General features: G+C 37.8%; 1 protein-coding gene across 11 annotated transcripts in view; it reads left to right on the top strand.

Annotated features, from left to right (window-relative positions):
- Positions 1-12,302, top strand: part of CYP39A1 (cytochrome P450 family 39 subfamily A member 1) — a 103,239-nt gene that overhangs the window by 8,158 nt on the left and 82,779 nt on the right. For 7 of the 11 annotated variants that reach the window (XM_017010924.2, NM_016593.5, XM_047418860.1 and 4 more), the window contains exons 2-5: positions 2,363-2,498; positions 4,993-5,167; positions 6,683-6,832; positions 8,179-8,272. In XM_017010924.2, coding sequence (XP_016866413.1) covers positions 2,363-2,498; positions 4,993-5,167; positions 6,683-6,832; positions 8,179-8,272 — 555 coding nt within the window. The remainder of the gene's footprint in view (positions 1-2,362; positions 2,499-4,992; positions 5,168-6,682; positions 6,833-8,178; positions 8,273-12,302) is intronic. The other 4 variants (NM_001278738.2, XM_017010922.2, XM_047418858.1 and 1 more) reach the window with 2 other exon arrangements.

Raw genomic sequence — 12,302 nt, 5'->3', positions numbered from 1 at the left:
TAGGAATTTATCACAGAGAAACTTAATGTTTACATAAAAACCCAGATATGGATGTTTATGGAAGCACTATTTGCGATAGCCCTAAACTGAAAAGAATCTCACTGTCTTTCAACCTTATTCATTTTTATTGTTTTGATTTTTAGAGACAGTCTTGCTGTGTTGCCCTGCCCAGAGTGCAGTGGTGCAAATCATAGCTCACTGCAACCTCAAAAACTCCTGGGCTCAAGTGATACTCCTGCCTCAGACCCCCAAAGCAGTAGGATTATAGGCATGTCTAGCCCAGCCTTCATAATGTTTAAATAAACTGTCGTACATTCATACAGTGGAATACTACTCAGAAATATAAAGGAATGAATGATTGATACACACAATTTGGATGAACATTCAGAGAATTACACTGAATGAAAAGCCAGTCCCCAAAAATTGTATACTAAATGCTTCTGTTTATATGACATAGTGAAATTCAAAGTTATAGAAGTGGAGAACAGATTAGTGGTTGCCAAGGATTAATGAGAAGGTAGGAGTGAGAGAAACAGTGGGGGCTGGCTATAAAAGGGCATCATTTAAGATCTTTGTGGTGATGGAAACATTCTGTATCTTGACTGTATCAATGTCAATAACTTGGTTGTGATACTGTACTATAGTTTTGCAAGATGTTAATACTGGGAAAACAGTAATGGATACGTAGGCTCTTTCTGTAACATTTCTTACAACCGCATGATAATCTACAATTATCTCTAAATAAAAAGTTTAGTTAAAAAATATACAAGCACCACTTCTACAACATACCGTGTGTGCCTGCCTGTACTTCGTAACACCGAGGCTGCTGACATTGCATACAAAAAAAGAACAAAAGGAAAGCAAGTAAAACAAACACAACAACAAAACCCTGTTGCATAATTTCTAACACTGTGCATGACCATCTTTTACTCCGCAGTTATATTGCAGTTACTTTAAATGCCTCACATCAACAATTATCTCAACTGCTGATTCAATGTATTTGAATGTGGTTAGTCTACACTTGTGGCCAGGTGCTTATAGATGTTACAAAAAGCTACCTACTAATGGGAAGTTAAGAATTCTCATTTGAACAAAACTTTAACAATGAAAATGAGTCATCTTCTAACTACTGGTTAACAAACAATTACAGATAGGAATGTTAGAAAGCAGTGTAGATGTCTGGATCACTAATGCACAAAAATGGGACTTCATTTTCTGGTGGCTTAATGATTTTTGGGCCTGCAAGTTGCCTAGTAGCACCCAACACTGTGTTGCAGGAGTAATCATGTGTCATCTCTTGGGAGGTATAGAAATGACTAATACTGAAGTAGTGATGAGCATAAATTATGCCTTGAGATATGTATAATGCTGTAATGGAATATGAAAGTATGGTGATTTCTTTTGATGATAGAGTCATGGAGAAGACTGAGGTTTGTTGCCCACATTCATAATTGAAGAAACTGCTAAATTATACTTAGACGCCAATAAAAATGATGACTTTTTTTTCCCAACAAGGTCATAGACCCCTGCTATCAAACCCTGTGCTACAGTATGTTCAAAGGTTGCTAAGAGTGATCTGATAAAGAGGGGAAAATTAATGATGTAGGAGAGAGAGAGTCATAAATGTAGAAGAGAGAAGGCAAGAGTGTAGGATCCATAACACAAATGGAGAAGTGTTGACATTTCACAAGGGCAGGAACCTCCATCCGTGTTAAGAGGAGGGAACGCATGGAGAATGGGTGCAAATGTATATACCTTGCAGGATTTAGTAGCGAGAAACTGAGACCGCTACTTGATTGCTCCATTTTTCTAGTGAGTTACAAGGCAGGGACACTATGTCAGAATGGAGAGGTTGGGCAGGTTGTACAGGTGAAATAATCATTTTGAAAACTAGGAAAGTGAACAGATTAGAAAAGTGTATAGGATTGCAAGACATTGTTGAATAACCATGGATTTCCCATAAACCAGTTGGCAATTTTGAACCTTTTTGTTGAACAATATTCAGCTATAGGTTGCTTATAAGTCTACCAATATCTTGAAAACAATGTTTAAATGTCACAATGTTGATATAATTTCTAATTATTTATAATTATTATTTTCTACTTATTTCATAGTACAAGAAAAGAAGCTATAAATAGGCAATAAAATGATCAAAGGGAATATTACATATTAGGACAGAACAAATTAAAATGTATATAATTCAGATCTGGCTGAAACAATCAAAATTTATAACTAATTGCCAAATATAATCATAATAATTTTTCTTTTGACTATAACTTCAGCATTAGGATTCTTGAGGAGAATGGTCTTAAACATGGCTTAGGAATGCTTACTAATATAATCTATGTTTGTTTTATTTCAGTATGGACCAATATTTACAGTCTTTGCTATGGGAAACCGAATGACCTTTGTTACTGAAGAAGAAGGAATTAATGTGTTTCTAAAATCCAAAAAAGTAGATTTTGAACTAGCAGTGCAAAATATCGTTTATCGTACAGGTAAAGAATATTTTCAGATAGTCCATTCGAAATCCAACATTGGAATCCAGGAGTAGTTTTAGGTAAAAATTACATCCTCATTCCTCTATCAAGAATGATGAGGGTCCATTATTTTATTCTTGAGGTATGGGTAGAAGAGGAAAGAGTTATGGGTAGAATAGTTTGGCCATTGAAATGCAAATGAATGGCAGCCTAATACATTTAGATTTGAATTAGACACGTGAAAGTGATAAGGTTACCTCATTGATGTTTTCTTTAGAGAATATTTGGAATCTGTATCATGTTACAGCTTCCAAGATGTCACTAACTCTGTTCCACTGCTGTGTATACAGTGTTCTACAGGGTACAGCTCTTGGACTGGTTACATGTTACTCAGTCCCTGAAACTAGAATTCCATGGCTTAGTAAATCCTTTACAGTGGCATTTCCTGACAAATTTTATAGGGCTGTTATGGTCAATGGGAGCTTGACTTGCCCTTTCACAAATCCTCCATCTTCAGAGACTACCAGATTGTACAGTCAGCATGCTTCCAGTATGGCTGTCTGCCTTCATTTCTTCCTAGGCTGCAATTGTGTGTACTGGGGCCATGTGTCCTCCCTGGAACGCAGAGCTGGTTCAATTTGTGTCTGGTTCTTTTTTGTGCTTTCACAATGTTTTTGCTTGCTTCTATTCTCTGTGGCTTCTTTCTCTCTGTTTCCCTTTTTTCTTCTTTGGTTCCTTTTCATGTAACCTTTTGTGCATTTCTTGCCATTAAGACAAGAAAGTTTGTTTTAAAAGCTACCAGTAATCAATAGAATTATATATATTTTTTCTTCTTGTATGCATGATCATCACAACCTGTTGGTGAAATTATTTGATTATTTAGTGCTTCTTGATACTTGGACTATGGAATTTTAGATCAAATAATATAAATATTTTGAAGGCCTTTGATCTGTAGAGTCGCGTATCCCTTCAGAAAAATTTACTAAGTTACCTATCAGAGGTGTATGGAAATGATTGAGTTTTTTTCACCTGAGCCTCCTCTGGGGACTTTCATGTTTAAATATTTCATTGAACAGATGAAATATATTAATATTTATTCTTGAGTCAGCTTCCCATCCCTCCCATATAGTAGATGTATGCTACTATACATACAGAAGATGTATAGTAGCATACTATACATACCAGCATAGTATATGTATAGTAGCATAGTATACATACTATACTGGTATGGTAACATAGAGAAGATGTATGCTCAGGAAATCTAAAAACTGTTTTTCATTAACTTACACAAAATGTATCTTACACGTAATAGGATGACGAAATACAAAATTAAAACTTATTCTTTGAAAAAGTTACTTCAATAAAATGACAACAATGGACACAGGGGACTACTAGAGGGAGGGGGGTGGGCGGCAGGGGGCAAAGGTTGAAAAACTAACTATTGAGTACTGTGCTCATTACCTGAGTGATGGGATTAATCATGCCCCAAACCTCAGCATAACACAATATACTTGTATAACAAACCTGCACATGTACCCTTTGAATCTAAAATAAAATTCAAAATTTTTTTAAAACAGAAAAAGTTACTTCAAGGTCAATAAAACAAGATAAAATAAAAATATAAAGAAATGAGTAAACAATAAACCACAATTTCTAATTAGGAATGTGTGTTATAGAAGGAGCACGAATACTAACATAAAGAAAATAGTGGGCTCAAAGCTATTCATGGGGTTAGGAAAGGCCTCCTGGTGGAAGTAGTGTTCAAGAAGACACTTGAAGGACAAATAGAAATTTGCAGGAGAAGTTTGAGGCTCATAGGTATAAGTGTGTGGGATTGGGTGGGAGTAGATATGGGTATAATAAAGGAGAGAACATTCTGAGCAGACAGAACAGCCTCTGAAATGCTGGGATATGTAAAATATGTTTTTAATGTATCTGGACTGTAGATTTTGAGGGAGAAGGGCTGAAAATACCAGCTCTCTTAATCACCCATTTATAGATTATCCCTTAAAGTGAATAGATTTCCATCATCTCACAGAATACGTTGAATCTTTTTTATTTGTTTGTTTTGAGATAAAGTCTCTCTCTGTCACCCAGGCTGGAGTGCAGTGGTGTGATGTTGGCTCACTGCGACTCCAACTCCTGGGTTCAAGCGATTCTTCTGCCTCAGCCTCCCCAGTAGCTGGGATTACAGGTGCCCGCCACAGCCGGCTAATTTTCCTATTTTTAGTAGAGACAGGGTTTCACCATGTTGGTCAGGCTGGTCTGGAACTTCTGACCTCAAGTGATCCACCTGCCTTGTTCTCCCAAAGTTCTGGGATTACAGTTGTGAGCCACCACACTCAGTCGAGAATAGGTTGAATCTTTATCTACTTTTATTTATGGGAGGTGACCTTATGTACTGAGAGGACTTTGGCTGTAGTCCCTGCTGACCAAATAATAGTAGATATATATTGACTGTGTGTTTCAAGGAGTTGTTGCTTATTTTGAAAATAGTTTTCTTTGTTCATAGCATCAATTCCAAAGAATGTCTTTTTAGCACTGCATGAAAAACTCTATATTATGTTGAAAGGGAAAATGGGGACTGTCAATCTCCATCAGTTTACTGGGCAACTGACTGAAGAATTACATGAACAACTGGAGAATTTAGGCACTCATGGGACAATGGACCTGAACAACTTAGTAAGGTAAATAGACGCATTAGTATGATTTAGTCTTGCTTTTTGTTTTAAATAAAAAAATTGAAACCTATAGATTGGACTTCAAACATTGTCAGGTTGATTAATGAAATCTACCTAACTAGGCTATTAAGAGATTATTTTAATCTTTTAAATTATTTTTTTTTGAGATAGAGTCTCGCTCTGTCACCAATCTTTTAAATTCTAATTCAGTTTAGCATTTCTATTTTATGGTGAGCAAACAAGCCAATACAGTCATTGTAATACATTTGCAGTAATTTATCCTTAGTCATTCCATACATTTGTGTATAAACTACACGGATTTTCTTCTTATAATTTTCATACTTCCTGTAGAATTTTGATAAAACATTCAGTGCAATTTGCTATTATTAGAATGAGAGGACGTTGAGAGGATAGGGGAGAGAATGGAATCATAAAGTGGTGAAAAAAGTCCAGGAGATGTTTGTGTTACTTAACAAGTGGCTCAGGCAAAGTCAGTGTGGGCCTCAGGACTGAGCCCCAGGGTCCTCTATTAAGGGAGATCCCAAGAGACAGGGAAGAGCAGCAGACGGAGTCAGCCCCATTCTGAAGCTTTCTGGAAAAGTTAAAGTCTGGGCATGGGAGACATGAGAAAATTTCCCACATGCATAAAGAGATTTCGTAAGTTGAAGTTACCTGAGTCACTTTGCCATCTCAGCAGGAATCCTGGAATGCCCAAGGCAAGATTGAGCAGTTCAGACTCAGAATGACAGTGAACATTTTGTTAGAGGTCCAGTAGTAGGGGGTGGAGGGGGGACACAAAAACAACCAAATTTAAAAATGTGCTGAAGCATACCCAATATCTATAACAAAATGAAGATATTGAAATGAACAAAATATTCTTGGATATTTTTAAAACTTTGGGTGGAGGAAATTATGAAGGGATGGTAAATAAAAATTAAATAAACAGTATTAAGTGTTTTAAGGCATGTTAACAATATTTTATATTCTTTATCTTAAGTATGCTACAGTAATCACTTTATTCTCTTAATGGTAAAACTTATTGATGATATGTACTATATTTCAATGGGCAATAGTTTGAATTTATGGGATCCTGTGAGAAATTAGGGAATTTGGTGACTAATATTGCCCTGAATCTTTGTTGTTGTTGTTGTTGTTATTGTTGTTGTTGCTGTCTAAAGGCATGGACTATATCTTAGCTACTATTATTTGCTAAATAAATTATTGTTGAATTGTATTAGATCAGTTTATTTATTATCTCATATTTGTCAGAGTCTAATAAGCTTGTTTAGAAAGCATTTAAATATCTTCAGATAAATCAAACCACAGTTTCAGTTCCCCCTGTATTATCTTGACCACAGTAAGCAAATATCAAAACTTCTTAAGAGTGACTTTTTCCCAAGAGAATCTGTCACCTATTATCTGCTCCCCATATATTGCTATGAAATAATGCCTTGCTTTGTATCCTTTGCCTTTCTTCTTTGGTCTTCGGGTCTGACTTTTTGTGTGTTTCTGTCTTTGTAGACATCTCCTTTATCCAGTCACAGTGAATATGCTCTTTAATAAAAGTTTGTTTTCCACAAACAAGAAAAAAATCAAGGAGTTCCATCAGTATTTTCAAGTTTATGATGAAGATTTTGAGTATGGGTCCCAGTTGCCAGAGTGTCTTCTAAGGTAACAGTTGTTTCCTATAATTAATTCATTGACCAAGCTTATCTCAGCAATTCAACACCTCTCATTTTTCTGTTCTAAGTAGATGTAACAGCAGTTTAAGTGGGAGAGAAGCCGTTTCTTATGACCTGTTTGTTTTTGGTGTCTGTATGTGAATTGAAGGAGGACCAAGGAAGAGAGATGCTTTTCTTATTGTGATGAACAAAAACAAAAGAGAGAAAGAGATCGATGGGATTAAGAATTTATTTTGAGGTCTTTTATCCCATGTACAGCTTTTTATTATTGCACTCATTGCTACAGTTAAGATTCCTGCTAAATCGTCAACCTGAGCAGTCTCAGAATCAGACACTGTGCTCCTCATTCTCTCTGAGGCAAACATGGGCGTGGTTAAATGCATTTCTCACAGTTGGTTCAGACAAATGTTTGTAAAATGAGGCACATGCAAAGTAACTGCATGATTTTGAAATTTCTTGGCAGTGGCTCTATGTCTTTCTCCATATGGGTTGCTATAACAAAGTATCATAGACTGGGAGGCTTATAAACAACAGAAATTTATTTCTCATCGCCCTGGAGGCTGGAGGCCTGAGATGAGGGTGCCAGCATGGTCACGTTCTGGTGAGGGCTATTTCTCATTGCCCTGGAGGCTGGGGGTCTGAAATGAGCGGGCCAGCATGGTCATGTTCTGGTGAGGGCTCCTTCCGGGTTGCAGACTCCCAATTTTTCACTGCATTCTCATGTGGTAAAAGGGGCAGACAGACTCCCTCAGACCCTGTTCATAAGGTTAGTACTCCTTTTCATGAGGGCTGTAGCCTCAGAACATAGCTACCATCCAAAGACCCCCACCTCCTAATGACATCACCTTGGGGGTTAGGATTTCAACATATAAAGATTTGGGAGAGACACAGACATTCAGACCATAGCCTACGTAGACCATTCATCTACAATGGTGACTGTTCAGACAAGATTTAGAAGATGAGAGCCAGTTTGTTTTTCCCGGCTTAAGTCAGCGATTGGTTCTGTGCATTGGGTTTTCATCCTCCTGCAACTTACAGCAGCCACAGTAAAGGCAGACCAAGCAAGTGTGGGTTCTGCCTTCTTATTCAGTGCCAATCCAGTAGGACTCCAAAGTTTTATTTACAAAAGACACTAAAATGTAGTTGCTCTGCCTCCCCAGCTGTCTTTGTGGACTAATCATTCCGAAGGTAGACCTTCCATGAAATTATACCTGAAAATGAAGAATAAATTTGGAGAACTAATTTTAATTCCACAGACATCCCTTTTTTATGCTGTGACCTGTTATTCCTAAAGTGCTTTCCAATTAATTTCTATATATATTTTTTCTCATGTAGAAACTGGTCAAAATCCAAAAAGTGGTTCCTGGAACTGTTTGAGAAAAACATTCCAGATATAAAAGCATGTAAATCTGCAAAAGATAATTCCATGGTAAGTATTTCTTACCTTTCTTTTGCTAATGTAAAGATAGTAATAAATTATTGTTGTTAAAATATATTTTGCTAAAACACATGAGATTGATTAGATACCATTTTTGTGTCAACCACTGTACTGGACATGTTGAGATACATTATTTCACTGTTACATCATCACAACAACCTATGTAGAAGAGGTATCCTATTCCACATAAGAAAAAACCAGAGACAACGAGCAAAAAAATACAATTCCGATGTTCCGTATTGATTTCTGTGTTATCATACAGTTGGCTGTGTCAATAGCGACAGGTGAAACTAATGGCAAATTAGGAAAAACAAAGCTCTACAAAATAGGCTTTGTTGTTGATGCCACTACCGTTAGTTGTTTCTTCAGATGCAAGGAAGCAGAATAGTATAATTTAAAAAGCCAGGCACTAGGAACCTGTGCCCTAAGCGTTATTCCAGATCTGTGGTTCTTCAAATGTGGCCCATAAACCGACAGCACCAGCATCACCTGGGACTCAGTCAGAAACTCTGCAGTAGGCCAGGCATGGTGGCTCACGCCTGTAATCCCAGCACTTTGGGGGGCCGACGCAGGAGAATTGCTTAAGCCCAGGAGTTCGAGACCAACCTGGGCAACATAGCAAGACCTGGTCTCTACAAATAATTATATATATAAAAAATTAGCCAGGCATGGTTGCACACACCTGTGGTACCGGCTACTCAGGAGGCTGAGGTGGGAGGATCACACTTGAGCCTGGGGAAGTGAAAGCTGCAGCAAACCCTGATTGTGCCCCTGCACTCCAGCCTGGATGACAGAGCGAAATCCTGTCTCAAAAACAAACAAACAAACAAACAAACACCTCTGAGGTAGACAATCTGCTTTAACAAGCCTTACCTTTGGTTCAGATGCTTGCTAATGAATGGTTCTCACCTCTGCCTCTCATTAGAATCACTCTGGGAGCTTTTGAAAACTGTCTGAGGCCAGGGTCTGCCCACAGAGACTGGGTTTCATTTGGTCTGGACTGTCTAGGCTCAAATCCAGTCACTGGTTATGTAACCTTGGGCACAGTACCTAGTCTCTTGGCCTCAGTTTCCTCACCGCATAAAGTTGTGGGAATTAAATGATTTAATTTTTGTAAAGCACTGAGAACAGAGGACTGGATAGGAGCTTATCATTGTTATCATCATTTAAAAAAACTCTTCAAACATTTTTATATTTAAAGATGGCATCAAAAGTTTTTGTTTGTTTTTAGTTAAATAGCAAATATTATCACAAACAGCTTTGCTTAAAACTAGAAAGGAAGATGGCCTTAGGAAAAAGGACTATGTGAATGTTTAGGTATCTCCTTCCTGAATAAAGGGAATAGGAAGCCATACTGGAAGGCCCTTCATTGACAAACTGTGTTTCAGCTAATATTTTTGTTGTGTAAACAACCCAGACAAACACACATGTTCTTTGCATTATTTTCCAGGACTTAGGGGCAAAAGCACATGTATATAAAAGATGTATCGAGATAGATCTGTAATCTATGGGCCTAGCAAACAGAGTTTTTAAATTCCCAGTTAAAATTCCCTGCTAAGGCTGGGTGCTGTGGCTCACGCCTGTAATCCCAGCACTTTGGGAGGCCAAGGTGGGTGGATCACCTAAGGTCAGAAGTTCGAGATCAGCCTGGCGAACATGGTGAAACCTCATCTCTACTAAAAATACAAAAATTAGCCTGGCATGGTGGTGCGCGCCTGTAATCCCAGCTACTCAGGAGGCTGAGGCAGGAGAATTGCTTGAACCTGGGAGGCGGAGGTTATGGTGCGCCGAGATTGCGCCACTGCACTCCAACCTGGGTGACAGAGTGAAACTCCATCTCAAAAAAAAAAAAAAAGCAAAAAGAAAAAAAAAGTAAAATTCCCTACCAACAATACCTCTAGAATAGCATTTATTTTTCTTACTCTGAAGAAATGAGGTATTTTTAATCATAGGTACTCTTAACTCCCTATTTGTATTAGTCCGTTTTCATGTTGGTGAAAAAGACATACCCGAGACTGGGCAATTTACAAAAGAAAGAGGTTTAATGGTTCCACATGGCTGGGGAGGCCTCACAATCATGGTGGAAGGCAAGGAGGATCAAGTAACATCTTACATGGATGGTGGCAGGCAAAAGGAGAGAGAGCTTGTGTGGGGAAACTTCCCTTTGTAAAACCATCAGATCTCATGGGACTTATTCACCATCACGAGAACAGCACTAGAAAGACCTGCTCCCATGATTCGGTTACCTCCCACTGGATCCCTACCACAACATGTGGGAATTCAAGATGAGATTTTGGTGGCTTCGTAGCCAAACCATATCATTATTTGAATAAAAACAAAGTTTGAATTCTGCTGAAGCTAATCCAGTGTTTAAAACTTTAGGAGAGAATTCAACTTGAACATCCATGAGCAGTTTAACTTTATTTTTTTATGTATTGCGTCTCTGTTTTCCTCTAGCAGTGTTCACACTGAGCTTGTGTGTTTGTGTGTTTTGTGTGGCAGTGGCATTTTTTTTTCTTTTTTGAGATGGAGTCTTGCTCTGTCACCCAGGCTGGAGTGCAGTGGTGTGATCTCGGCTCACTGCAACCTCTGCCTCCCAGGTTCAAGCAATTCTCCTGCTTCAGCCTCCCGAGTAGCTGGGACTACAGGCACATGCCACCACACCCGGCTATTTTTTATATTTTTAGTAGAGATGAGGTTTCACCATATTGGTCAGGCTGGTATCAAACTTCTGACCTCGTGACCCACCTGCCTCGGCCTCCCGAACTGCTGGGATTACAGGCGTGAGCCACCGTGCCTGGCCGAGCTAATGTTTTTATATTAATATTAAAAAAAAGTGTGAGCTAAGAAGAAATTTAAAAGATTTTGTTGTCTTCAACTGCATAAATAGATTTCAGTGGCCTAGTGAAGCAGAAGACTGGGTAGAAGTTGAGTTTCATTTTTAAAAAATATATACACGCTTTATTGCATCATTAATGTAAAATGTGATTTCTTCCATGTTATTTTAGATATATCTTAAACTAGTGTTTTTCATTTAAAATTATTATTGTATCATAGAATATCAAAATAATGAAATATATCTATAGGATTTTCATGAGGTATAAACTTTGTCCTGTGACAACTTACATTATAAGTATAATAGAGACAAGCAGTAAATGAAATTCATATCTAAACTATTTTCAATTCTGCTAATCCATTATCACAAAAACAGTAATAACACATTAGCTAACATTTTTGGGGTGCTTACCTTGTGGCAAGCATAGTGTTACATATTTCACAAGTAATTTCTTATTTATTTTCACAACTTTAATACAAGGAAAACTGAGGATGTTAAATCCAGAAAGCTAGGGATTAGAGTAGTTAATCCCTTGACAAATTACATGCTTTAGTAAATAATAGCATCAGTCTCTATTTTATAATGTATTTTATAGGCTAGTGATTGAATAGTTTTTTTTTTCTGTGTCATAGTATCTGAATCAAAGCTACTATGCTGTGGTACAATGCAGTTCTCCAAATCCCTAATACAAGAGAGTTGTGATTTGTGTCTCTAAGGGGGCCAGTATAGCATAGTGGCTTAGAGTATGGGCTCTGGAGTCAGGGCTAGACTCACAGGGTTGGGATCCTAACTCAACCACCTTCAAGCTATATGTCCCTGGCAAAATTCCCTAACTTTATTGTGTTTCAGTTTCCTCATATGCATAATGGTGAAGATAATAGTATCTGCGGGGAACCACAGACACTGGACCCTATTTGAGGGTAGAGATTGGGAGGGGGGAGAGGAACAGATAAAAACAATTATTGTGTATTAGGCTTAGTACCTGGGTGATGAAATAATCTATAACAAGCTCCTGTGACACGATTTTACCTATAGAACAAACCTGAACTGTACCCCTGAACCTAAGAAAAAAAAAAAACCTGACAAATAGAGCCAGGGAAGGTCATGAAGAGAGGGTTCTCATGCTTGAATGTGTGATTTAGAAAAGAAAGAAAAGAAAACTCTACAAAAACCACAAACCTGCAC

The sequence above is a fragment of the Homo sapiens genome, chromosome 6 (assembly GCF_000001405.40).
Source record: "Homo sapiens chromosome 6, GRCh38.p14 Primary Assembly".
NCBI classification, from domain to species: Eukaryota; Metazoa; Chordata; class Mammalia; order Primates; family Hominidae; genus Homo; species Homo sapiens.
Note: the sequence above shows the minus strand (reverse complement) of the source record. Positions and strands in the feature narration are given on the sequence as shown.